Source organism: Homo sapiens, chromosome X (genome assembly GCF_000001405.40).
Source record: "Homo sapiens chromosome X, GRCh38.p14 Primary Assembly".
NCBI lineage: Eukaryota > Metazoa > Chordata > Mammalia > Primates > Hominidae > Homo > Homo sapiens.
In genome coordinates, this window is record NC_000023.11 from 2,562,473 (window position 1) to 2,586,921 (window position 24,449).

Below are 24,449 nucleotides of genomic sequence, written 5' to 3' on the forward strand. Positions count from 1 at the left end.
ACAATAAGCTGTCTGCAGGCTGAGCAGCAAGGAAGCCAGTCTGATAACTGAAGAACCTGGAGTCCAATGTTCAAGGGCAGGAAGCATCCAGCACGGGAGAAAGATGCAGTCTGGGAGGCTAGGCCAGTCTCTCTGCACATTTTTCTGCCTGCTTATATTCTAGCCAAATTGGTTGCTGATGAGATGGTGCACACGCTGATGAAGCGGGGTGCGGGGTTTGCCTTTCCCAGCCCACGGACTCAAATGTTAATCTCCCTTGGCAACACCCTCACAGACACACTCAGGATCAATACTTTGCATCGTTCAATCTAATCAAGTTGACACTCAGTATTAACCATCACACCATCTTTTCACAGCTGCTGCCAAAAACACAACTTCAATCTTCAACAGAATCTTTTTAATGAAAAGGAAATACCTTTGCCATTCAGAGTTTTAGAGAAAGTTCAAGGCCCTTTTCAAAAAAGAAAATAAACTTTTTAAAGAGGAGTGTCAATTCTTATCTTGTTAGCTAGTATTCAAGGATGAAGTTGCAGCTGTGGCTTAATTACAGAATCCTGCCCACTTAATTCAACACGATTCACACTTAAGTTCACACACATCTACTTTTTCTCATTTTGTTCTTTGGTGAATTTAAAATATTCAGAATAATGGTAACAGTAATGGCTGTGAGTATCCTGGGCTTATACTGTGCTAGAAAATTTTAAACAAATTCTGCATGTATTAATATATTTCTTTATTATTATTATTATTTTTAAGACAGAGTCTCAATCTGTTGCCCAGGCTGGAGTGCAATGGCACGACCTCGGCTCACTGAAACCTCTGCCTCCCGGGTTCAAGAGATTCTCCTGCCTCAGCCTCCCAAGTAGCTGGGATTACAGGCGTGTGCCACCATGCCTGGCTACATTTTTTGTTGTTGTCGTATTTTTAGTAGAGATGAGGTTTCACCATGTTGGCCACGCTGGTCTCAAACCCCTGATCTCAAGTGATCTGCCCGCCTCAGCCTCCGAAAGTTCTGGGATTACAAGTGTGAGCCACCGCGCCCGGTCCGTATTAACATATTTCTGTGTGATATGCATGTAGAAATACTGTGTTGTGGTAGGCATTATATTATCGTTATCATTGTTTTTCAAACTGGGGCACCTTAGGTAGGCAAAGGTTAAGGAATTGGCTCAGGTTGTGTTACAATTGTATGCCCAAACTGGGCTTTAAGCCAAAGCAACCTGATTCTAGATCCAGACTATGTTCTTTGTCCAGACCTTCGTACTGGGGGGACCCTGACTCCTTCCATTAAGAGGGGCTTCTCCCCTTCTTTTATACCTAAGGACAAGCAGTAGAGAGATCAAGTCTGTACACAATGTTGAATGTAGGGTACGCACCCATGAGTCTGCCTGTGTCTTATGACAATGCTCCGTCAACCCGTCGGGAAGCTCTGCCTTCCTCTAGTGCTCTCCCCACCAATGCTTGGGCCCCCATACTACCACCAAGCCCGCCACTTTTATTTCCTTTTTTTAAAATTTTGTCACCCAGGCTGCAGTGCAGTGTGTGTTGCAATCATAGTTCACTGCAGCCTTGACCTCCCAGGCTAAAGTAATCCTCCCACCTTGGCCTCCTGCGTTACTGGGACTACAGGTGCACACCACCATGCCTGGCTAATTTTTTTAATTTTTTTTTTTTTTTTTGAGATGCAGTCTCGCTCTGTTGCCCAGGTTGGAGTGCAGTGGCGTGATCTCAGCTCACTGCAACCTCCGCCTCCCCAGTTCAAGCGATTCTCCTGCCTCAGCCTCCTGAGTAGCTGGGATTACAGACGTCTGCCACCACACCTGGCAAATTTTTATATTTTTAGTAGAGATGGGGTTTCTCCATGTTGGCCAGGCTGGTCTTGAACTCCTGACCTCAGGCAATCCACCCGCCTAGGCCTCCCAAACTGCTGGGATGACAGGCATGAGCCACTGCGCTGGGCAATTTTTTAAATTTTTGGTAGAGATGGGGTTTCACTATGTTGCCCAGGCTGGTCTTGAATTCCTGGGCTCGAAGAATCCTCCCTCCATGGCCTCCCAAAGTGTTGGTATTATAGGCATGAGCCACTGCACCGAGTCTCAGCCATTTCTTGATGATCTTCCCACATTCTCTTAGATGAACAAAAATTATCTTATGCCATCTGTCACCCCAAGATTATAAAGGTCCCTTCCCAGAGGAATGTACCCTCCTCACAGCTCCCTCAAACACCCAGCCATCTTGTTAGCCATGTAGATATGAAAACTAACCCTTAGCCATGTGTCTGCCACATTTTCCTTCTTGGGGCTAATAATAAAATACGTGTATTAAGACATGAGTTGATGGGATGCGGTGGCTCACGCCTGTCATCCCAGCACTTCGGGAGGCCGAGGTGGGCAGATTACCTGAGGTCAGGAGTTCGAGACCAACCTGGCCAACATGCTGAAACCCCGTCTCTACTAAAAAAAAAAAAAATACAAAATTAGACAGGTATGGTGGCGTAAGCCTGTAATCCCAGCTACTCAGGAGGCTGAGGCAAGAGAATCACCTGAACCCAAGGAGGTGGAGGTTGCAGTGAGCCGAGATCGCGCCACTGCACTCCAGCCTGGGCGACAGAGCGAGACTCTGACTCAAAAAAAAAAAGAAAAAGAAAAACATGTTCTTTTTAAATCATAAATACAATTAAAATTGTACTTATGAAATATGCCTTTTCAAACTTTGTTTCTTAGCTTTTGACCCTGTTCTGGGGTCGGTGAGGTACTTGTGTGAATCTTACAGCAGTTTTTTCTGCCTAGTGGTCTGACTGGCACGTCGAGCGCCTGCCCAGTGAAAGCTGAGACCAGCGAGGGTGGAGTGCTGTGTTCCCCTGTGCAGAGGGTGAGGAGCCTTCCTGAGTTTTTCCGAGACACAGAGAACCCAGACCTCCTTTAGGAAAATGACTATAGAATAGCTCAATTGTTAAAATCATCATGCGAGCTTTGCCAGCCGCTTTTTGTTGTTGTTGTTTTAATAGAAAGCATCCCTTCCCACAGCTAAGGAGACCACGTGAGAGGCATCTCATTCTATAGAATGCACCGAGAGGCCGGGCGCGGTGGCTCACTCCTGTCATCCCAGCACTTTGGGAGGCCGAGGCAGGCAGATCAGCTGAGGTCAGGAGTTCGAGACCAGCCTGACCAACATGGTGAAACCCTATCTCTACTAAAAATACAAAAAATTAGCCAGGCGTGGTGGTGGGCACCTGTAATCCCAGCTACTTGGGAGGCTGAGGCAGGAGAATTGCTTGAACCCGGGAGGCGGAGGTTGTGGTGAGCGGAGATCGTGCCACTGTACTCCAGCCTGGACGACAGAGTGAGACTCCGTCTAACAATAATAATAATAGTAATAATAATAGTAATGCACCAACAGCAAACTGTGCCAACATCAGCCGATAAATTCGTTTCCACCCATGCTCCTCTGCAGGGCCAGTGAATACTCTGTCTGTTATCCAAGTGCTACCAAGCTAACGGTATACAGGCTAGGGTTCTGTTTTCACAATGACACAAAGAGGTGCACCTGAGCCATGTGGTTTCAAAAAATATTTTATTTTCTGGAATAGCCATAATATCTCAGCTCTGTCTTTATGCCCTCTCTCCACACGGAGGAGGCAGAAGCTATGACAACACTGAGGTGCCACACATCACACCTGCAAAACAGAATAATGGGAGCGTTTAGGAGACTGTAGAAAATGCTCACCAGGGTGCATACAGACAGGATGGGGGCTGGGCATTGCTGGGCTGCTGCTGTCTGTCAAGGACATTCAGAGAGATATACATGTCCCCGGGGCAGGGCCCGCCTCCATCTTCATCTCTTCTCTCTCATGTGTCAAATGAAGCAGAGGAAAAACAGCAGAGAGTCCTTCACGGCTGCTGGACTAGGCAATGCAACTCTCACAAGTGATGAGATTGAGAATGTGCCTTACACATCCCGTAGGTCTGGCGGTCACGAATGCGAGATTTGCTTCTAGAAATTTCTGGGACTCTTGTTTCATGTGCAAAGTGCCTAGTCTGTATCTGTAGGGCGATGCTGTTCTTCCAAGACATGATTTTTCCTTTTTACAACAGACAGGATAGGAATATTTGGGGTCACTTGGCAACAATGATGATGGGGAATCCTCTGTATCTCTTCCCTGGAGCATTTGCTCTGCACACAGAAGGAAGCCATTTGCACTGGATGGAGTCTGTATGAAGCTGGCAGCATGGATTGCATTGGAGAGTTAAGTAGGGCAAGCCCCCCAGTTGCACCTACTCTAACGATGGTATAATCTGAAGCTGATTTGTCCTGTGGACGTCTCTAGCCAGTAATAAGAGTAAACAGTTCCAATGGGCTTCCCTTGGGCATTGGAACCCCTGTGAATTCCGACTCTGCACAAGAGCAAGGTGGACGAAAACTTCACAACAGAATGGGCCAGGCAAGGGGGCAGAGATGGCTGGATGGGACCACAAGGATGGATGGAGGTTACAGATGCCAGCATGGCCCCAGAGGTGACACTGCCCATGAGTCCTGGTTACCCAGTGATGGCTTGGCAGGATGAGTGACGGGTGGGGAAGATGGCCTTTATCCTTATTGACAGTCATCTCACCCTTCACTCCTGCAGTGCAGCTGGGCTGACATGCTGGTGGACGTTCTTCAGAGAAGGGCCAAGCTGTGACCTTCAGAGATCCATCCCTCCACACTGGAGTCCTGGCCTACTGGTAGCTTATGAGGGGGATGCTCTTACAACTCCTTGGCTTGCACCTGGCATGCAGGCAAACTGAAGACTCCACAGCCACTCCATCACTTTAGGGGCCCTAAGCAGATGCAAAGAGAAGGAAAAAAAAGAGTAAGAAAAAAAAAATCAATGGTAATCTGATGAAGGGTTACCCCCCACCGCCGCCTCCTGCTCTCTTTAGAGACGGGGTCTGGCTCTGTTACCCAAGCTGGAGTGCAGAGGTGCAATCACAGCTGACTGTAATCTCAAACCCTTGCACTTTTTAATCTTTTTTAGAGATGGGGCCTGGCTCTGTTGCTTAGGCTGGAGCACACTGGCGCAACCATAGCTGACTGTCATCTTAAACGCCTGGGCTTAAGCAATTCTTTTATCTCAGTCTCCTGAGTGGTTAACGCTACAAGTGTGTGCCACCAAGCAGATAATTTTTAATTTTTTTTTTTTTTGTCTCATTAAGTTTCCCAGGCTGGTCTTGAACTCTTGCACTCAAGTAATCCTTCCACCTCAGCCTCCCGAAGTGCTGTGCTGACAGGCATGAGCCACGGCATCCAGCCAGTACATCTCTTTAATGCTACTGAGAAGTCATTTCACCCAGCACTTTGGTTCCTAGTATCATGTTCAAAAAAAAGAACCAGGGCTCTCTGGAATAATGGTTAATTCTAAGAACGGAGCTTGGGTGATACAGATAGGCCTGGACCATCTTGTAGTACAAGAAAATAAGAAAATGCTCAAATACACAAAAAAATGGGGGTGCGTGAAAGATAAGCAAAAGCCAACATGAAAGAGCTCCTGGTGCTCAAAGCTGAAACAATTTGGGCAATAAAATAAAATAATATTAGATGGCAACCCAAAGCAATCAATTATTGAATAAAAACATAAATGAAGGAGGAGATACAAATCCCCTGTGCAGAAGAGTCCCATCCAAGTAATTGATGTAGATATTTTATTCTCAAGAAGATGAAACATAACTCCCCACTCCTTTAAGTGTGGGTTGCATGTAGAGACTTCCTTTCAAAGAGCATGGTCAGGAGATCAATAACTTTTCAGTGGAGAAATCTGACAAACACCACCTCAGACGTGATCAAGGCCAAAGTCAACAATGGTAGGTCAGGCTGACAGTATGTACCTTGATATGATGTAATAAGAATGACTCTTCATCGCTGCCGTCATCCTCTCCAAAGCCAACCACCCTAGTCTCACCATGAGAAAAGTTGCAGACAAATCCCAACAGAGGGACAGCTTGACAAAATACCTGACCCGTTGTCCTCAAGACAGTGTTTCTCGTATAGTCTGCAGCACCGTGAGCCAAATAAACCTCTTTTCTTTATAAATCACTCAGCTCAGTTACTCCTCTATAGCAATACAAAATGGACTAATACACAAGCCACATCCAAGTGCCATTTGTGGCAAGGGGCCCTTGTATGGTCTGCAGGCCTTGCTTTGGATGACCTTGAAGTAAGGTCTTGTATTTGACTCTTGAACAGTCTGCAGAACTGTGAGCCAAATAAATATCTTTTTAATAAATAAACCCATACAAGAGTCATGTACAAGACCTTGCTTCGAGGTCATGAAAAACAAGGCAAGTCTCAGAAACTGTCACAGCCAAGAGGAGGCATGACTCAATGTAATGTGGGTTCTGGAGGAGATCCTGGGACAGAAAGAGGACATCAGGAGGAAAGTAGTGAAGTCCAGTAAACAGAAGAGTTTAGATTACAAAGGGTGCGGGGTTGGGGGGTGGGCAGGAGACCCTAACAAGTACCTGCATAACTAGCATTTTTCCTTTTTTTTTGAGATGGAGTCTCGCTCTGTCGCCCAGGCTGGAGTGCAGTAGCTCGACCTCAGCTCACTGCAAGCTCTGCCTCCCAGGTTCAAGCGATTCTCCTGCCTCAGCCTCCCGAGTAGCTGGGACTACAGGTGCCCGCCACCACGCCTGGCTAATTATTTGTATTTTTAGTAGAGACGGGGTTTCACCGTGTTAGCCAGGCTGGTCTCGATCTCCTGACCTCATGATCTGCCTGTCTCGGCCTCCCAAAGTGCTGGGATTACAGGCCTAAGCCACTGCGCCTGGCTGCATTTTTCCATTTATAGATTGCCTTTATTCTGCATATGGTAGAACCAAATGGAAGTCAAGACACAAGCATCTGGGGTGCTGGAGCCTGAGAAGACCTGTCTGGAGCTTGACAGAAATTCTGAATCCCCACCGACTCTCAGTCTACCCAGAAAGACAATGACCCAATAAAGAAACAGACTTTAGTCCTGTGTGAATTTGCTTGGGCTGTGTGTGGGGAGGCCCCTCCATCAGGGATAGTTCTGGCTAAATATCGCATGTGGAAAACTACCAGATGGTTGAGAGTGAAGATGAGAGAAGAGCCAGGGAGGGAAGAGATGCTTTCTTCAGGGCCAGGGGAGAGAAATTCCATAAGAAAAGCATAGGGTTAGCTGGAAGACAAAATGAGACTTGTGCTATCCAGATTGGGGGCACCAGCCACAAATGGCATTTGGATGTGGTGTCTTCGTCCATTTTGTATTGCTATAAAGGAATATCCCAGGCTGGGTGACTTATTAAAGAAAAGGGGTGTATTAGGCTTACCGTTCTGCAAACTCTATAAGAAGCAAGCATGGTGTTGGCATCTGCTCAGCTTCTGGTGAGGCCTCAGAAAGCTTTTACTCATGGAGGAAGGCAAGGGGAACCAGAGCGTCACATGGTGAAAGAGGGAGCAAGAGAGAGAGGAGGAGGAGCCAGGCTCTTTTTAACAATCAGCTCTTGCATGAACTAATACTGTGAGAACTCGCACATTACCATGAGGATGGCACCAAGTCATTCATGAGGAATCTGTTCCTGTGACGGAAACACCTCCCACCAGGCCTCATCTCCAACACGGGGGATGCTATTTCAACAGGAGATTTGGAAGGGACAAACACCCAAAGGATGTCAGTTCATTTGAATTGAGATGTGCTGTAAATGTACAATAGACACTGGATTTGAAGACTTGGTGTGAAAAAAGAATGCGCGCTATCTCACTCATAACTATATATACAATTCTAATATATTCTAAATAGCTATATATACTATTCTAAATCTATTCTAAATAACTACATATACTATCCTAAATAATTCTAAATAACTACATATACAACTCTAAATCTATTCTAAATAATTCTAAATAATGATATATACAACTCTAAATCTATTCTAAATAACTATATATACAATTCTAAATCTATTCTAAATAACTATATATATAAAATTATAAATATATTCTAAATAACTATATATAATTCTAAATAATTATACCTATATATACAATTCTAAATACATTCACACATATATTTTTAAAATATAAATTTGAAATAAATTGTGTATATGTATACAATTATTTTATATACTTATAAAATATATATATTCATTTATGACATTTATACATATATGTTTATATAGAAATATATCTTTTTTTTTTTTTGGACACTGAGTTTCACTCTTGTTGCCCAGGCTGGAGTGCAGTGGCGTGATCTCAGCTCACTGCAACCTCTGCCTCCTGGGTTCAAGCGATTCTCTTGCCTCAGCCTCCCAAGTAGCTGGGATTACAAGCATGCGCCACCACGCTCAGCTAATTGTATTTTTAGTAGAGATGGGGTTTCTCCATGTTGGTCAGGCTGGCCTCGAACTCCTGACCTCAGGTGATCTACCCACCTTGGCCTCCCAAAGTGCTGGGATTACAGGCATAAGTCACCATGCCTGGTCAGAAATATATCTTAATAAAATGTGTACATATTTTACATTTAAAAAATAAATAAAATATAAATTTATATATTTATATAAATATACATTTTGAAATGAGACTATTTTATATAGTGATAAAATAAATATCTTATATATAAATATATTGTAATAAAATTTGTACAAATTTAATAAACTGAAAAATATACATAAGCTATAAATTTGTTTATGTAAATATAAATATATACATGTTGAAATGAGACTATTTGATATAGTGATTAAATAAATATATGAAAATATATTTTAATAAAATTTGTATATATTTAATTTTAAAATATACATAAACTGTAAATTTATATATTTATGTAAATATAGAAATATACATACATGTTAAAATGACACTATTTAAATAGTGTCATTAAATACCATATTTATTATTAAATACCGTATTTGCATATATTTTTAATAAAATTTGTACAAATTTAATAAATTTAAAAACATACATGAAATATAAATTCATATATTTATGTAAATATAAATATATATACCCGTTAAAAGGAGACTGTTTCAATATAGTGATTACACATATTATTAAAATTGATTTCACCATTTTCATTTTACTCCTTTGTTAATGTGTTTAACAAAGAGTTTTCAATTGCTTTTGTGGATCATATTGTATTTCTTTTTTTTTTTTTTCAGACCGAGTCTCACTCTGTCACCCAGGCTGGAGTGCAATGGTGCCATCTTGGCTCACTGCAACCTCTGACTCCTGGGTTCAAGCAATTCTCCTGCCTCAGCCTCTTGAGTAGCTGGGATTACAGGCGCCCACCACCACGCCTGGCTGATTTTTGTATTTTAAGTAGAGTAGGGGGTTTCACCATGTTGGCCAGGCTGATCTCGAACTCCTGACCTCAAGTGATCCACCCACCTTGGCCTCCCAAAGTGCTGGGGTTACAGGCGTGAGACACCGTGCCCAGCCTATATTTTATTTCTGACGGGTAGAGTTCTTCCAGACCCTGAAAACCTGGGGCATCCAGGGAAAATACAGAAACAGGGCTCCGGGTACCTCAGTGGAGTACTAGGTGGGGCTGTAGCCACATAGCTGTGTTCCCCTGAGGCCCCCAAAAGCCCCATGATCTCCAGGGACACCGGGCTGGGCAGGCTGCTATTCCACCTCTCACCTCTTTGAACCCCAGTCCCTCCACCTTTCACAGTGGCATAAAGACTCTTCCCAATTAGGATGACCCAAACATCTGGGTCAAGGAAGATTCAGTGACCCAGGGACCTGTCCTTGCTCCAGGCAAATCAGTTGGAGCAACTTGGAAGTGACTAGATATTTATTCTGAGCACTTGGGACGAAGCTTGGGGGTATAGGGAATTCCTTGATACCTTCTCAAAGAATTCAAAGTCTACTGAAAAGGGCTTTCCTTCACTTGAGTATCTCAAATATTCATCTGGGAACGCTATCTACCACCTCCTGAATCGCTGCTATTGGTAAGATAATGGGTTGATCTCCACAAATTATAATGATGATCACACTTGCTAGCCCCAGGAACCAGCCGCATCCAATTCAGCTTTTGCAAGGAATCTAATTCCTGTCTGTCTCTTCCCCACCTGTAACTCTATAAATCTTATCTTTAAGAATGGGTGGGGGCTGGCCACGGTGGCTCACGTCTGTAATCCCAGCACTTTGGGAGGCCGAGGCGGATGGATCACTTGAGGTCAAGAGTTCGAGACCATCCTGGCCAACATGGTGAAACGCCGTCTCTACTAAAAATACAAAAATTAGCTGGGCGTGGTGGCATGCGCCTGTAGTCCCAGCTACTCAGCAGGCTGAGGCAGGAGAATTGCTTGAACCCGGGAGGCGGAGGTTGCAGTGAGCTGAGATCGCACCACTGCACTCCAGCCTGGCGACAGAGCTAGATTCCATCTCAAAACAAAGAACAAACAAACAAAAAGAATGGGTAGGTCTCCACCCATTACTGTGTCTTTCCATGAGACTGACGCCCAACAGGGCTGAGTCAGACGGCCAGGAAGCTGGGGTAATTTGAGAGGCACAGAGAGTACTCTTTCGGCTGGCCTTAGAGTTGGGGTTGCCACCTTCACAAAAGCATCCCTGGCTTGCTCTCACACACAGAGATTCTGGGAGGCCCCAGGAAAACCCCAAAATACTGCAAGAGGTGTAAACATACCCACTCATGCTGTCTTGTTTAATGCCAACATGGCTCCAGGGAGCAGGAAGAAGCGCCAGAGGGAACAACACGCAGGATGATGGGTTTGCTTTTGACCTGCACTAATTATGTTCTAGGTATGGCACCGCTTTCAGAGTCAGTTTCCAGATGTGCAATTTTAGTACACAAGAACATTTATCAGCCCCTTACTTTCTCTGTTTCTTCATGAATCCTTGAGGCAGAGGTCCAACATGGAGAATCATGGTGCTCAATGAGTGCTGGACCTTGGCCAGGTGACTTGGGCCTAAGGCAGCATGTCTGTCGAGTGATGATCATGTTACTTACCTGCCAAAGCTTATGTGTGGATAAGGTGTTGTCATAAGGTGGGTTCCCCAGACACAGAGACTGAGGTTGGGATTCAAAGACATAGAGCATTTGCAGAGGGAGGGAGGGAAGCCCGTTTAAAAAGGCACTAAGCCGGCCAGGGGTGGTGGTGGCTCACGCCTGTAATCCCAACACTTTGGGAGGCTGAGGCAGTTGGATCAGGAGGTCAAAAGATCAAGACCATCCTGGCCAACACGGTGAAACCTCATCTCTACTAAAAATACAAAAATTAGCCGTGCGTGGCAGTGTGCACCTGTAGTCCCAGCTACTCGGGAGGCTAAGGCAGGAGAATCGTTGAACCCGGGAGGCGGAGGTGGCAGTGAGCTGAGATCGCACCACTGCACTCCAGCCTGGTGACAGAGTGAGAATCTGTCTCCAAAAAAAAAAAAAAAAAAAGGCACTGAGGCATGATTTGATCTCAGGACATATCTCAACCTGGTCAACAGCAGGCTCTGGAATACAAATTGGGCTGCAGAATTTGCTGCCTTTGGGCATGGAAGTATGTGTGTGTGTGTGTGTGTGTGTGTGTGTGCGCGCGCGCGCGCGCGCGCGCACGCACGCGCACATATGTATGTGTGCATGCATGATCTCACGTGCTGTGGCTTCCTCTACCTGAAATGAATCTTCACCTTAGCGTTATCTGGATAACTGTATCTTGACCTTCAGGGCTACACCAAGCATCACGATGCCTTAAACATCTCCTCCCAAGCCCACCTGGGTTCTTCCTCCATGTTCCTGTAGCACAGAGACTCTGAGATCTGTCTGCCAGCTGTTTTACGGCATGTGGCCCGGACTTCTGTTATACCCTGGATCAAAATGTACCACAATTATCAAATAACCTTGCCATCTCCCCAGCTGGGAATTTACACTCAGAGCAGGAACCAGGTTTGTCCAGTATTATAACTGCTGGTACATAAGAGCCAGGAAAGGTTTGTTAAATGAGTGTTTCAGGCTAAATTGTGTCTCTTCGAAATGCCCATGTTGAAACCTTAGCCCTCATTTGTGACGGTGTTTGAAGATAAGGCCTTCAAAGAGGTCATTATGCGAAAATTATGTCATTAGGGTAGGGCCTGATCCAACAGGACTGGTGCCCTTATAAGAAGAGGAGACGAGGACACAGACACACACAGAGGGTTGACCCTGTGAGGACACAGGGAGAAGACGGTGTCTACAAGCCCAGGAGAGAGGCCTCAGGAGGAACCAGCCCTGCCCACACCTGGATCTCGGACTTCCAGCCTCCAGGACTGTGGGAGAATCAATGCCTGTTGCTTATAAGCCACCCAGTCTATGGTATTCTGTGATAGCAGCCTGAGATGGACTAAGACACTTCATAAGAAGAGGAGATGAGGACACAGACACACAGAGGGACGACCCTGTGTGTACACAGGGAGAAGATGGCGTCTACAAGCCCAGGAGAGAGGCCTCAGGAGGAACCAACCTTGCCCATACCCTGATCTCAGACTTCCAGCCTCCAGGCCTCCAGGAGAATCAATGTCCCTTGTTTAAGCTTCCAAGTTTGCGGTCCTTTGTTATGGCAGCCTTAGCAAACTAATACAATGAATGAATCAAACAGCACATGTATTACAATTCTAGTTGTGCTATCCAATAGAATAGCCACCAGCCACATGTGGCTGTTTACGTTTAAATCAATATAGCTCAATAAAAATAAATATTCAAGCCTTGAATGAAACCATACTCAACAGCCACTTGTGGTTGGTGCTTCCAACATTGCAGTTGCCTTCCTCCTCAAGAGTCGTGTTCTTGGTTGAATTCATCTCCCCTGCCCCTGAGGAAAGCACCCGTTGTCTCTCCGCACTTCTGAAGGTTTACTGCCCCACCATCTGTCCCCAGATGGAGAACCCTTGCAGGATGCAAGGGGATATTGAAATGATGTTTGCACTGGGCAGGATGGCTCAGGCCTGTAATCCCAGCACTTTGGAAGGCCTAGGCGAGATGATCACCTAAGGTCAGGAGTTTGAGACCAGCCTGGCCAACATGGCAAAACCCTGTCTCTATTAAAAATACAAAATTAAGCCAGGTGCAGTGGCACATGCCTGTAATCCTGGCTACTCGGGAGGCTGAGGCAGGAGAATCACTTGAACCCGGGAGGCAGAGGTTGCAGTGAGCCGAGATTGTGCCATTGCACTCCAGCCTGGGCAACAGAGTGAGACCCTGTCTCAAAAACAAAAACCAAAAAAAAGTTAAAAATTAAAAAAGAAAAAGAAATGATGTTTGCAGTGGTTAGGGTGGCTCACACGTGTAATCTCAGCACTTTGGGAGGCTGAAGCAGGAGGATCAGTTGAGCCCAGGAGTTTGAGAACAGCCTGGGCAACGCTGACAAAACCGCATGTCTACAAAAAAATACAAAAATCAGTCTGGTATGGTGCTACATGCCTGTAGTCCCAGCTCCTCAGGAGGCTGAGGTGAGAGAATCACCTGTAGTCCCAGCTACTCAAGAGGGTGAGGCAGGAGAACCGCTTGAACCAGATTCAGCTCACTGCAACCTCCACCTCCTGGGTTCAAGTGATTCTCCTGCCTCAGTCTCCTGAGTAGCTGGGATTACAGTTTCCTGCCACCACATCCAGCTAATTTTTGTTTTTTTTTTTTTTTTTTTTTTTTTTTTTAAGTAGAGACAGGGTTTCACCATGTTGGCCAGGCTGGCCTCGAACTCCTGAAACTCAAGTGATCCCGCCTGCCTCGGCCTCCCCAAAGTTTTTTTCTTAAGCATCTTTTTTAGATGCCTTTGTTCTCATATTTCTGTTTGCCTCTACTATTTTATTCGCTTAGATAGTTTTTTGTTTGTTTGTTTTGTCTTTTGTGGTCTTGACATTTTTGCTGACGGTAGGAAAGATCCAATTTCCATGTTATTGTAATTCCCATTAGACTTGTCCATTGGTGTCATGCTAAAAGATGAGATACTAAAGAAAATTGGCTGGGAGCAGTGGCTCATGCCTGTAATCCCAGCACTTTGGGAGGCCAAGGCAGGTGGATCACCTGAGGTCAGGATTTCGAGACCAGCCTGGCCAAAATAGTGAAACCCCATCTCTACTAAAAATAAAAAAAGTAGCTGGGTGTGGTGGTGGGTGCCTATAGTTCCAGCTACTCAGGAGGCTGAGGCAGGAGCATCGCTTGAACCCGGGAGGTAGAGGTTACAGTGAGCCGAGATCACGCCACATCCAGCCTGGGCAACAGAGCGAGACTCCGTCTCCAAAAAAAAAAAAAAAAAAAGAAAATCATATTTAATTCATTTAGCTTTCATCGTAATTACAGTCACACTTCACACACATGGGAATTAGGGAGCCAGGAAGAGTAATGCGGCAATGCCCTGTGTTCAGACCACTATTAATGGGTAGGCTTTGGGGATACTTTGCTTTTCTCTTTCACTAATGATGTCTGTCCATTTTCCCCGAGGATCTTTTCGGGAGCCTTCTGTGTGGTGGGCCCACTTACGACCTGAATCACCGCATTCACGCCAACAGTACCAACCCATAGGTATGCTTAGTCATCTGATGACTCAGAGACAGGGGGTAGGCGGATGGAATGGAAGGATGAGTCTGGTCAGATGGTAAGAGATAGTACAATGACATGAAAAATAGCCACCACTGACCACTGGCAACCTGGCCTTGAGATCCCTAGTGGACAGTTATTTATTTACTATTTATTTATTTTGAGACAGGGTCCACTCTGTCGCCCAGGCTGGAGTGCAGTGGCACAGTCTTGGCTCATTGCAACCTCTGCCTCCAGGGTTCAAGCGATTCTCCCGCCTCAGCCTCCCAAGTAGCTTGGATTACAGGTGTGCACTACCACACCTGGCTAATTTTTGTATTCTTGGTAGAGACGGGGTTTCGCCATGTTGGCCAGGCTGGTCTTGAACTCCTGACCTCAAGTGATCCTCCAGCCTGGGCCTCCCGAAGTGCTGGGATTGCAGGCGTGAGACACCGCGCCCGGGCATGGACAGCTTTTTGAGCGCATAATTACAGACAGTCTTCACCTTCCCCAGAGGAAAACATAACAGCCTATCCCAAGGTTTCGTAATAAAAGCGTAAAATTGTCATAAACCCACAGTAGGTGTTCAATAAATGCATACATCTTGTTCCCACACCCGAAAAATCCTAGTTAGGAGGTGACCGAGGAGAGTTTACAACACAAATTGCACCTGAGGTTTTGCACACGAGTGAGTTTGATCCCTTTCCTCCAGAAGGCCGGCTACTCATTCAAAGGGCCCAGTTTGTTTCAAACTATTTTTGGAACTGTTTCAGAATTGCCTCCAAGCGCCTGTCTAGACCTTACCTTACACTGGCGCTATTTTGAGCTAAAAGCCATATTGATTAAATTGGCTTCTAAAGTTATCCCCCAGACTTGGCGCTGAAGGAGGCTTAGGTATTTCCAAAAATCCTAGCCTCTGCCTGGAAGGCTCCCCAGCTAAGGATGCAAGACAAGGACCAAGGACGACATTTCTTGAAAGATCCTGCCTCTGGGGATAGTTTCGGAAAGGAAGTGCTCAGGTTTGTGAGACAGCAGCAGGGCCCTGGGACCTTTCTCTGATGGGGGAATATCCCCCTCTAGGTCAGCACGCCCCATCACAGCACTGCATCTACTGTAGGTACCTCCAAAGTCACCCTTTCTATTTCACTCATGTTTCCCTTGAATTTACACTTTACATGTTGCTAGACCAAATCGGCGGAGGGGAAAAAATAACTCATGGAAACATGATCTTTTTAGAAATGGCATTACTCAGAAAGCACAGCAGGGGTTTGGCTTATGGTACGGTGTTGTTTTCCTGCTTTGAGGCGCTGTTACAGATTCTTCTTCCCACTGTACAGCTTCCCGGCCTGACATGCTGCCTTGGGAAGTGCGTGAAAGTGAACGCAGCCTCCTCTTCCTCTTAGGAGTCCTCCGTTTCGTGTCTCTTACATCCTGAAAGGACCCAGCTCTCTGAGTCAGGCCGCGGCACTGCCCCTCCTAGCTCCAAATCCACATCTATTTCCCACTTCACTTTCTAAGTGGGATTTAGCTTAACACTGTGGAGCTTGGAGTATCACAGAGCTAATATGTAAGACCCAGGCTGGTCTTTCCTTCTCTGTCGGCACCTTGGAATTCTCTACTACCTTTCAGCCTGCCTCTCCGCTCCCCCGGCTTTTTTTTTACAGACATCTGCAATGCAGGCAAGTTCCAATATGAACATCTGTGGAACACAGCCTGAGAAGAGGAGATATAAAAGGATCTTAATTTTAGGGTGAAGGAGGAGAAGAATGGTTAAGAAGCGTCTCAATAACGTAAGCCACAACCTCAGGCTTTGAAAACAACATTAACTGAGAACAGCTTTGAAAACAACAGTGAGATTTTCAACTCAATTCTTTTTCCCACAGGTCACTTATCTTGAATTCCAAAATGTTGACTTCTGCTAAAGAATCTTTTTTTTTTTCAGTGATATAAATTTGGAAGGTATGTCAATATTCTTATCCAGTGTGAAGTCCTATGACCGAAACACTTGCGTATTCGTCTCTCCTCCCCGCTACACTTCCCTTGGGGAAGTACACACAACAAGGCAAACAAACACCTCTGACCACTTCTGAGGCAGCCTGTTCTTTTTTTTCTTTTTTGAGATGGCGTCTCACTCCGTCGCCCAGGCTGGGTGCAGTGGCGCGATCTCGGCTCACTGCAACCCCCACCTCCAGGGTTCAAGCGATTTTTCTGCCTCAGCTTCCTGAGTAGCTGGGATTACAGATGTGTGCCACCATGCCTGGCTGATTTTTGTATTTCAGTAGACACGGGGTTTCACCATGTTGGCCAGGCTGGTCTGGAACTCCTAACCTCAGGTGATCTGCTCGCCTCGGCCTCCCAAAGTGCTGGGATTATAGGTGTGAGCCACTGTGTCCGCTCCCTCTCCCTGCTTTTTTTTTTTCTTATAGAGTCTCACTATGTTGCCCAGGCTGGTATCAAACTGCTGGGCTCAATCGATCCTTCCACCTTGGCCTCCCAAAGTGCTGGGATTACAGTCGTGAGCCGCTGTGCTCACCCTGTCCTTAATGATCAGCTTGAGAAAATTCTCTCTCATCTAGTTGACCACGTCCCCCTCTCATCACTGCCACCAAATGTCCCTCATTATGGTGTCTAGATGTTTTGTCTTGCTACATCTCAAGCTTCATTACAGATCGAATTTACCCTCTTCCCTCAACTCTTCTTGCACAGAAGCTGAGGTTTCCAGGAGGCCCTCTCTACCCCTTGGGGGACCTTCCCCTTAAGTTTGGAAGCTGCCAAAACCATGTAAAGGAGATTTTAGGAGGGTCTTTGCACTATATGGGATCCCAAGAAAAATGCATTTAGGGCCACTTTTTCAGCAGCTTCGCTTTAAGGTTCATTTTTTTTTTTTTTAAGACTCATAAAAATCTTTACAGTTTGGAACACATAAAATATATTGACTGGACGCGGTGCCTCACACCTGTAATCCCAGCACTTTGGGAGCCCGAGGTGGGTGGATCACTTGAGGTCAGGAGTTCGAAACCAGCCTGGCCAACATGATGAAATGCCGTCTCTACTAAAAAGTCCAAAAATTAGCTGGGCATGGTGGCTCAGGCCTGTAGTCCAAGCTACTCGGGAGGCTGAGGCATGAGAATTGCTTGAGCCCAGAAGGTGGAGGTTGCAGAGAGTCAAGATTGCACCATTGCACTCTAGCCTGGATGACAGAGCCAGACTCTGTCTTTAAAAAAAAAATACATAAAAAGTTTTAAAAATGGAAACCTGTGTGAGCAGTGTCTAGAAACAGATAATTAGCAGTTATTCTGTAATCAATTTTTTAAAAACTTTAAAGAGAATGATTAATTTTAAACCCTAAAGGAGAGTTGCAAGTAGAAATATAATTTAAAACTTTTGTGTAATATCACTGCAATGGATGTGAGATTTTACACACACACACACACACACACACACACACACCCCATAAACACACATGTGTGCCACAGGTCCGTTGGTAAAAGCTTGGTTACTGATGATTGAGTTTTTTTCTTTTATTCTTGGGGAAGTTACATAACCTGTTTTTTTCCAGCCTTATTTTTCCATTCTGTGTAATTGGGATACTAATTATATTCATGTTGCTGTCAGGAGGGTAAAATACAATGTATATAATATTATTTTCACTCCAGATCTGGTGTTTAGTAAAACACTCAGCAACTATTAGGTGTAATTGTTATTTATAGGAAACTGTAGGTCTTTTGACAGTAATCATAACCACCCTTGCATGTGTGGGTTGTCCATAGAAAATTAAGATAATAGCGCAGAGGTTTCTGTCTCATCATGCTCTTCCCAGCTTCACTGAGATTGTCCTTTTTTCCAGTCAGGGCTTATCTTTCTAGGTTCCAGGAAAGCATCCTGAGGGATCATGCTGCTGTTTTAATACTCATATCTTCTTTAGGTGTGAAATACCCAAACGGGCCAGGAGCAGTGGCCCACACCTGTCATCCCAGCACTTTGGGAGGCTGAGGTTGGAGGATCACGAGGTTAGGAGTTTGAGACCAGCCTGGCCAACATGGGTGAAACCCCATCTCTACTAAAAATACAAAAATTAGCCAGGCATGGTGGCACGTGCCGGTAATCCCAGCTACTCAGGAGGCTGAGGCAGGAGAATCGCTTGAACCTGGGAGGCAGAGGTTGTAGTGAGCCGAGACTGCGCCACTGCCCTCCAGCCTGGGCGACGGAGCAAGACTCCATCTCAGAAAAAAAAAAAAAAAAAAAGAAAAGAAAAGAAAAGGAAAAAAGAAAGAAAAGAAATACCCAAATGGTCACCATGATCTAAGCACTCCCTTGGAGAACTGATGGATGTCAGTGTGCACTGATGGACATAAAACAGGACCACAGAGAAGAGTCACACTTGTAGAAAGAAATGCCCCCCAATCTCTAGCCAAAAGCTCCAAGTGGGAGTCTGTGTCACTTCCAGTGACAACTCTGCACTGACTCACTGCGTGACCTTGGGCAAGAAGCACTTCTACCTGCCTTGGTTTGTGGACCTGAAACAGGGATGTTAGCACCAACCTGGCATCTTCCCAGGACAGTGGCGCAGATCTGGAGGAACACCTCACGGGAAGGTCTTTTGTAGATCACACAGGAGGCTACACAGACATGAGTTACTGTGATTTCCTTTTGTCTAAAGGTTTCTTTCTGGTTCTAGCCTTGTCTATCTGGGGGAAGGAGACTATCTGTGATGGAGATGAGCGTTCTTTTCCAAGAGCGTTAATTAGCTGTTCACTTTGTGACTTCGTGAGCGCCCTACCATTTGAATTCTGAATCCCTGCGTTTTGTTCTCATTTGGTGATGAGCCTTTCAGCAGACATGGTAGTGACTATTAAGTAGGCATTTTAATGCAATCGTTCATAGAATCAATATGTAGACGGCTAGTTTCTAATTTATGAGAAGGCATTCTCTGGGAAATTGAATAAACAGTGCTCGATTGGAATATGGAAATTTTATATAAGAAAAATAATCCGAGAGAGGCTGAGAATGTACAAGCTCTAAGGAATCATCAGATGTGAACAGGACTTCAGCTATCATGTTTAGGGTGAGCTTCGTTAGTGGCTCACATCTAGTTTCAGCTGCAACTGTATTTTCATATCGTTCCCAGGCAAGCCCCGCGAGTGACTGACTCCACGACCCTGTTTCTTCCCAAACCCTCACCTGAGAAACAGGCTTCTTGGATTAAATCTTCCTTTTCCTATTCGACTAGCCCGGTGGGTTTGTGCTTGGCGTAACTTTGGGCCCCCTGGGTGGGATGTGCTTGCGTGAAGCTCCAGTAGCTTTTCCTCTGTGCCGGGAATAATTTGCAAAGCGTCCTATTTTGGATTTTCATAATCAAGCTTCTACCCCGTTTCTTTTCAGTTAATTTAATACCTGGAGCACACGCAGTACTTCAAAAATATTGGTCCGTTCTGGTGTCAGAGAGTCTTTTTGGACTGAGATGTAAAAGTCCTACATTTGGGTATGTGAGCTGGGAGTTGGGGGGCCAGGCTGAGGAGAAGCAACAAATTCCAGAGACAAACTTGGCATCTTGGGAGATGTAATACACGCACCCAGCCACAGAGTCCCAGGAGAATGTATTTTAATGGAGAATGTGGAGGGACTTTGCAAATGTTTTCATTTTCTCAAATCATATCTGTTATCCTGAAAGTGGTGTCTGTTCCCCCTAACGCCCCCCCGCTCCCTCCCCAACCCTTTGCAGACACTGGCATCTGTGGACATGAGTTAGGTGCTGCAGTACCACTCACTGTGTCAACTACAGTATTAACTACGGAAAACACACACACAGTCACAGTCACACTGACACTCACACCCTAACCATCCCAAATCAGACATTTGCAGTCCCACGGGATTTCCAAAGATTCCCCGGACAAGCAATCTATAGATTATCCTGGGACCAGAAAAAAAAAAGTCCTAGGATTTTTAGTTTCCTTAACCCTCAAGTGGCTGGAAACTGTTAATCAGAGAGGAATGAACATAAATAACACCAAGCCGAGCTCCGTCTGATCCGAAGTGAGCCCCCAAACAGCTTCTGTCTGCCCTGATTACCAAAGGAAGCCATGCCCACGCATAAATTGGCAGTCTATTTAAACTGGGTGTTCTTCCTCACAGTTTTTTTTTTTTCCCAGAGAAATATTCAAAGGCAGGCATTTTTCTGGCTAAGAAGATATTTATTTAAGTCACAGATTGCTTCACCTTCCCAAACTTGCCCGGCACACTTGGTGTAGGGCAAAGCCTCATCCTTGTCACATCTGTCCCTCTCCCCTCTGGAGCAGGGGCCAGAGGACTTTGGAGGACACCTACTCCCCCCACCCCCAAGGCTTCGGCTTCCCAGGGGGGGCTTGGCAGTGTGAGAAAGGCAAACCGCCTTCCGACCTGGTTGAAATTTTGTTTCCCATTGCTCCCTAGAGGTGTCCCTTGGCCGTGGATAACGCTCACTCTGTTCCTAGCCTCGCGCTCACCGTGTTTGTCCATGGAGGTTATAGGGAACTTGAGTGCGGGGTCCCCACCGCCGGAGCAGAGGGCTAGGGACCCGATAGCGCCTGGTGTGCCATAGCGCATTGGACCCACCCGAGAGCCCGCGTTCTGCTGCACCGGTGGCGGCCACAGGCGGGAGCGCCTATGCGCCTTGGACCCAAGGCGCCCAGGGGGTGGGTGGGACGGACCTGGAGGGGGTACAGGGGGGGCCTGCGCCCACCTCTCTGCACGCGCATCTGCCGCTTCCCGTGCCCCATAGGGGAGCCCCGGGCTCCGTGAATCCTCGGGTTCAGTCCCGCGTCCGGATTCCGCGTCCTCCCCGAAGTTGGGGCTCCCCAACCGTGGCCCCCCAAAGCGCCCGCACGAGCGCACTCACCCGCTCTCCCCGGTGCGTCCCTGAAGGTCAAGGCCAGGAGGCGGTGGAGGTGCAGGGCGGGCGGTGGGGCCCGGAGTAGGGGGCGCGGGCGCCGAGCTGGGGGGCACCGCGGGACGGCTCAGTCCCCATGGCCCTGGCGCTGGGGGCGCCCCCCGCCTGGCGACCCCGGGGGTCCGCGGCGCTCAGATGCCGTGGTCACAGTCCACATCGCGGCAGATGTACCAGAGGATCACGTAGAGGATGAGGAGGATGGCGAAGATGAAGAGGGCCACCAGGATCGCCTTGGTCACCGGCGAGATGAGAGACTGCATGGCCCCAGCGGGGCGCGCGGGAGGGCGGGGGGCGCGCGGGGGCGCGGGGCGCGGCGCTCACGACCCCCGAGCGCGCCCGGAGCCCCGCGCCGGCCCCGCGCCGCATCCGCAATGCTCCGTGCCCGGGACAGACGCTGCCTGGGTGGCTGCTCGGCGGCGGCGGTGGTGGCAGTGGTGGCTGCTCGGAGGCCGGCGCGCTCGGGTGCAGGCGGCTGCGCGCGGGGCTCCCACCGCCCGGGTCCCCCCAGCTGCTGGCGCTCACCGGGCCCGGCGGCCGCTGGGCTGGGCTGGGGGCACGGGGGGCCCTGGGGGCGGCCGGGAGGAGGGGGCGGCGGCCATGGGGGAGAGCTGGAGGAAGGCGGCGCGCCGGGCAAGTCCCCCGAAAACTTGGGGCGGAGGCGGCGCGGTGACAGGTGGAAACGCCAGCCCCGCGGGCAGCAGCGCGCAGCCGTCCACTGGCGGCGGGGGGCGCGGGGGCGCGGGAGGGAGGCGCGGGGGCGAGCGCGCGGGGAGGGGCTGCGGCACTGGGCGGGGGGCCTCCCTTTGCAGATGGGGAGGGTCGGGGGAGAGCAGGCGTCCCCGACTGCGCGCCTTTCCATCACCTCTCCCACCTCTCTGCTTTTCCCGGCCCCCTCTCTCCAGCGCAGCGGTGGATATCTCTCTCGTCCAGGTCTTGCATCTCACCCCTTCTTTGGGAGTCCCCTTCCTTTCCTCTTTTCCTCACTCTCACCCTGCACCCCGGTATGGGTGAGCTGCGATATTCTCATCAAAGAATGAAGGTGCTCATGGAGAGAAGCTGCCCCTTCTCTCTTTCTCTCTCTCTCTCTGTGTCTCTTGTACAGGGAAGGGGGTTTCAAGTTGCAACTAACTCATTGCTGATACCAAGCAGGATGGGCCCAGGCAGGAAAAAAGTACACACCCTTGCCCAGAGTCACAGCTTCTATAAGGGGAAGGGGGAGACTGGGTTCTGTGATGAAGGGGTGAGGCAGACGTCTTGGTGTGAGACTCAGTCCCGTGATAAAGGGGCGATGCACACAGACGCCTTAGTGTAAGGATCCAGGTTTCTGCCCTCGCATCACAGAAAGCCCTCCACCCCACGTTTGTCCCTTACTCTCTGGGGCTTAGCCCTGGGGAATGGAGAGACAGGCATGGTGGCACGTGGGTGCACACACATTTTTCCTGAAGTGTGAGCTGTGTTTAGGGCTGATGTCTGGTGGAGACACGAACAGGTCAGGGCACAGCACAGAAGGCCGAAGGAGCCCAAATTCTTGGGAAAGGAGGTAGTTCCTCCCTAGCTGGGCATCCTGAATACTCTCTTTAAGGGAGGGAGGGAGCTGGGGCTGTTGGACAGGGGCATAGGGCTTGCACCAGGAATCCATGACATGGTAAGAACAGGGACCACCCAGTTTCCCAGCAAATACACAATTCAGGCCTTTCATGCCCTGATTTTTGTCTCCGCTCCCTGTGGCCCCTAACACCGGTGAGCAGGAGCTGTTCCACGATGCCTGGTAGAAGTCTTCGCCTGCCTGCAGTGACACACTACTGAGGGAAAATTTTATACCTGCATGCAGTGACCCCAGCACCGATGCCCCATGGTTCTGGGAGACAGAAAGAGCTTCAGGGTTGGAGAGCCTTTGTCTGAGAGCCTGGCTCCCGAGGGTAAGGCATTCCTGACCTTCAGAAACAGGAACAAAGGAGAAGATAGGACCTGACCCAGGTAAAAATAGCCTCCCCTGCTATGGTCTAGGATGGATTTGCAGCTGAGGAAGGATGCCAGGAAAATGGACCATGATATCAGAGGGCTGTGTGGGTCGGGGAAAAAGGAATTCATCAAGCACTAAAGTGGCGATGCAATCTCTCCTCTGCACCCTTCTACCCGGTGTTTCCATTCCAGAGACAGCTCTTCCCCCAGGATGACACAGGTGGGAGGGAGGAGACCCTCTTCCTGCTGACGGCAAAGAGAAGAGCCCACCTCAGGGTCTCCCAGCAGATAGCCGGGTGGCTGGCGTGGCTTTCCCTTGAATCTGCAGTCTGTGAAAGGTTTTCGAGCAGAAGTGGGGAGCAAGGGAACAGTTTTGTAGATGGCATGACCCATGCCAGCAAGGCTTGCAGCCAGGCAGCTTCTTCTTGCCACTTTAGAGAGGAAATCAATTGTGTGTGTGTGCGCGCGCGCGTACCCGTGTGTGTGGGTGGGTGTGTGTGCACGTGCCCACACAGTGCATGAAAAGGTCCTCGCTCAGCGATAGTGTGTACATTTCCAGGGCAGCAGCTTCTAACTTTCAATTGAACCTGCGTTTCCAGCCTCTAGCTGTTCATCGGCTGAGAGAAGATGGATAATTGAATTTCTATACTTCCACTTCTCTGCACATGAAGAGTTGGTATTCCTCAGGGGAATTCCTCAGGGGAAGAAACACCAAAGTTTCAGACAGTTTGTAAACTTACTTTTGTCTGTACAATTTATCAGACACCCACAGTGAAGCCAAGAGCAAAAAGAACATCCAGATGGAAAGGTATAAGGCAGGTGTCAGAGCCAATACACCACGATTCCTTTCTCACAAATAGAATTTGATTTTTTTTTTTTTTTGAGACAGAGTCTCGCTCTGTCACCCAGTCTGGGGTGCAGTGGTGCGATCTCAGCTCACTGAAACCTCTGCCTCCCGGGTTCAAGTGATTCTCCTGCCTCACCCTCCTGAGTAGCTGGGATTACAGGCGCCCGCCACCATGTCTGGCTAATTTTTTGTATTTTTTAATAGAGATGGGTTTTCAC

General features: G+C 47.7%; 1 long non-coding RNA gene across 5 annotated transcripts in view, besides 4 other annotated features; it reads right to left on the minus strand.

The window, feature by feature from the left end:
• Positions 1-3,556: 3,556 nt before the first annotated feature.
• The window catches only part of LINC03112 (long intergenic non-protein coding RNA 3112), a 43,139-nt gene continuing 22,246 nt past the window's right edge, over positions 3,557-24,449 (minus strand). Inside the window, exons 2-4 of one of the 5 annotated variants that reach the window (XR_001755777.2) lie at positions 11,624-11,817; positions 7,539-7,694; positions 3,557-4,820 (exon numbers count right to left, since the gene is read on the minus strand). This is a non-coding gene — a long non-coding RNA (long intergenic non-protein coding RNA 3112). Of the gene's footprint in view, positions 4,821-7,538; positions 7,695-11,623; positions 12,162-24,449 lie in introns of those variants that run through there. The other 4 variants (XR_950503.3, XR_001755776.2, XR_001755778.2 and 1 more) reach the window with 4 other exon arrangements.
• Positions 20,603-21,103: an enhancer, noted in NCBI's record as "H3K4me1 hESC enhancer chrX:2501116-2501616 (GRCh37/hg19 assembly coordinates)". NCBI's record gives its function as "activates a minimal SCP1, AML or CMV promoter by ChIP-STARR-seq in naive H9 embryonic stem cells {active_cell/tissue: H9 hESC(naive)}" and the evidence as "EXISTENCE:reporter gene assay evidence [ECO:0000049][PMID:30033119]".
• Positions 21,104-21,604: an enhancer, noted in NCBI's record as "H3K4me1 hESC enhancer chrX:2501617-2502117 (GRCh37/hg19 assembly coordinates)". NCBI's record gives its function as "activates a minimal SCP1, AML or CMV promoter by ChIP-STARR-seq in primed H9 embryonic stem cells {active_cell/tissue: H9 hESC(primed)}" and the evidence as "EXISTENCE:reporter gene assay evidence [ECO:0000049][PMID:30033119]".
• Positions 21,104-21,795: a biological region, named in NCBI's record as "H3K4me1 hESC enhancers GRCh37_chrX:2501617-2502117 and GRCh37_chrY:2451809-2452308".
• Positions 21,296-21,795: an enhancer, noted in NCBI's record as "H3K4me1 hESC enhancer chrY:2451809-2452308 (GRCh37/hg19 assembly coordinates)". NCBI's record gives its function as "activates a minimal SCP1, AML or CMV promoter by ChIP-STARR-seq in primed H9 embryonic stem cells {active_cell/tissue: H9 hESC(primed)}" and the evidence as "EXISTENCE:reporter gene assay evidence [ECO:0000049][PMID:30033119]".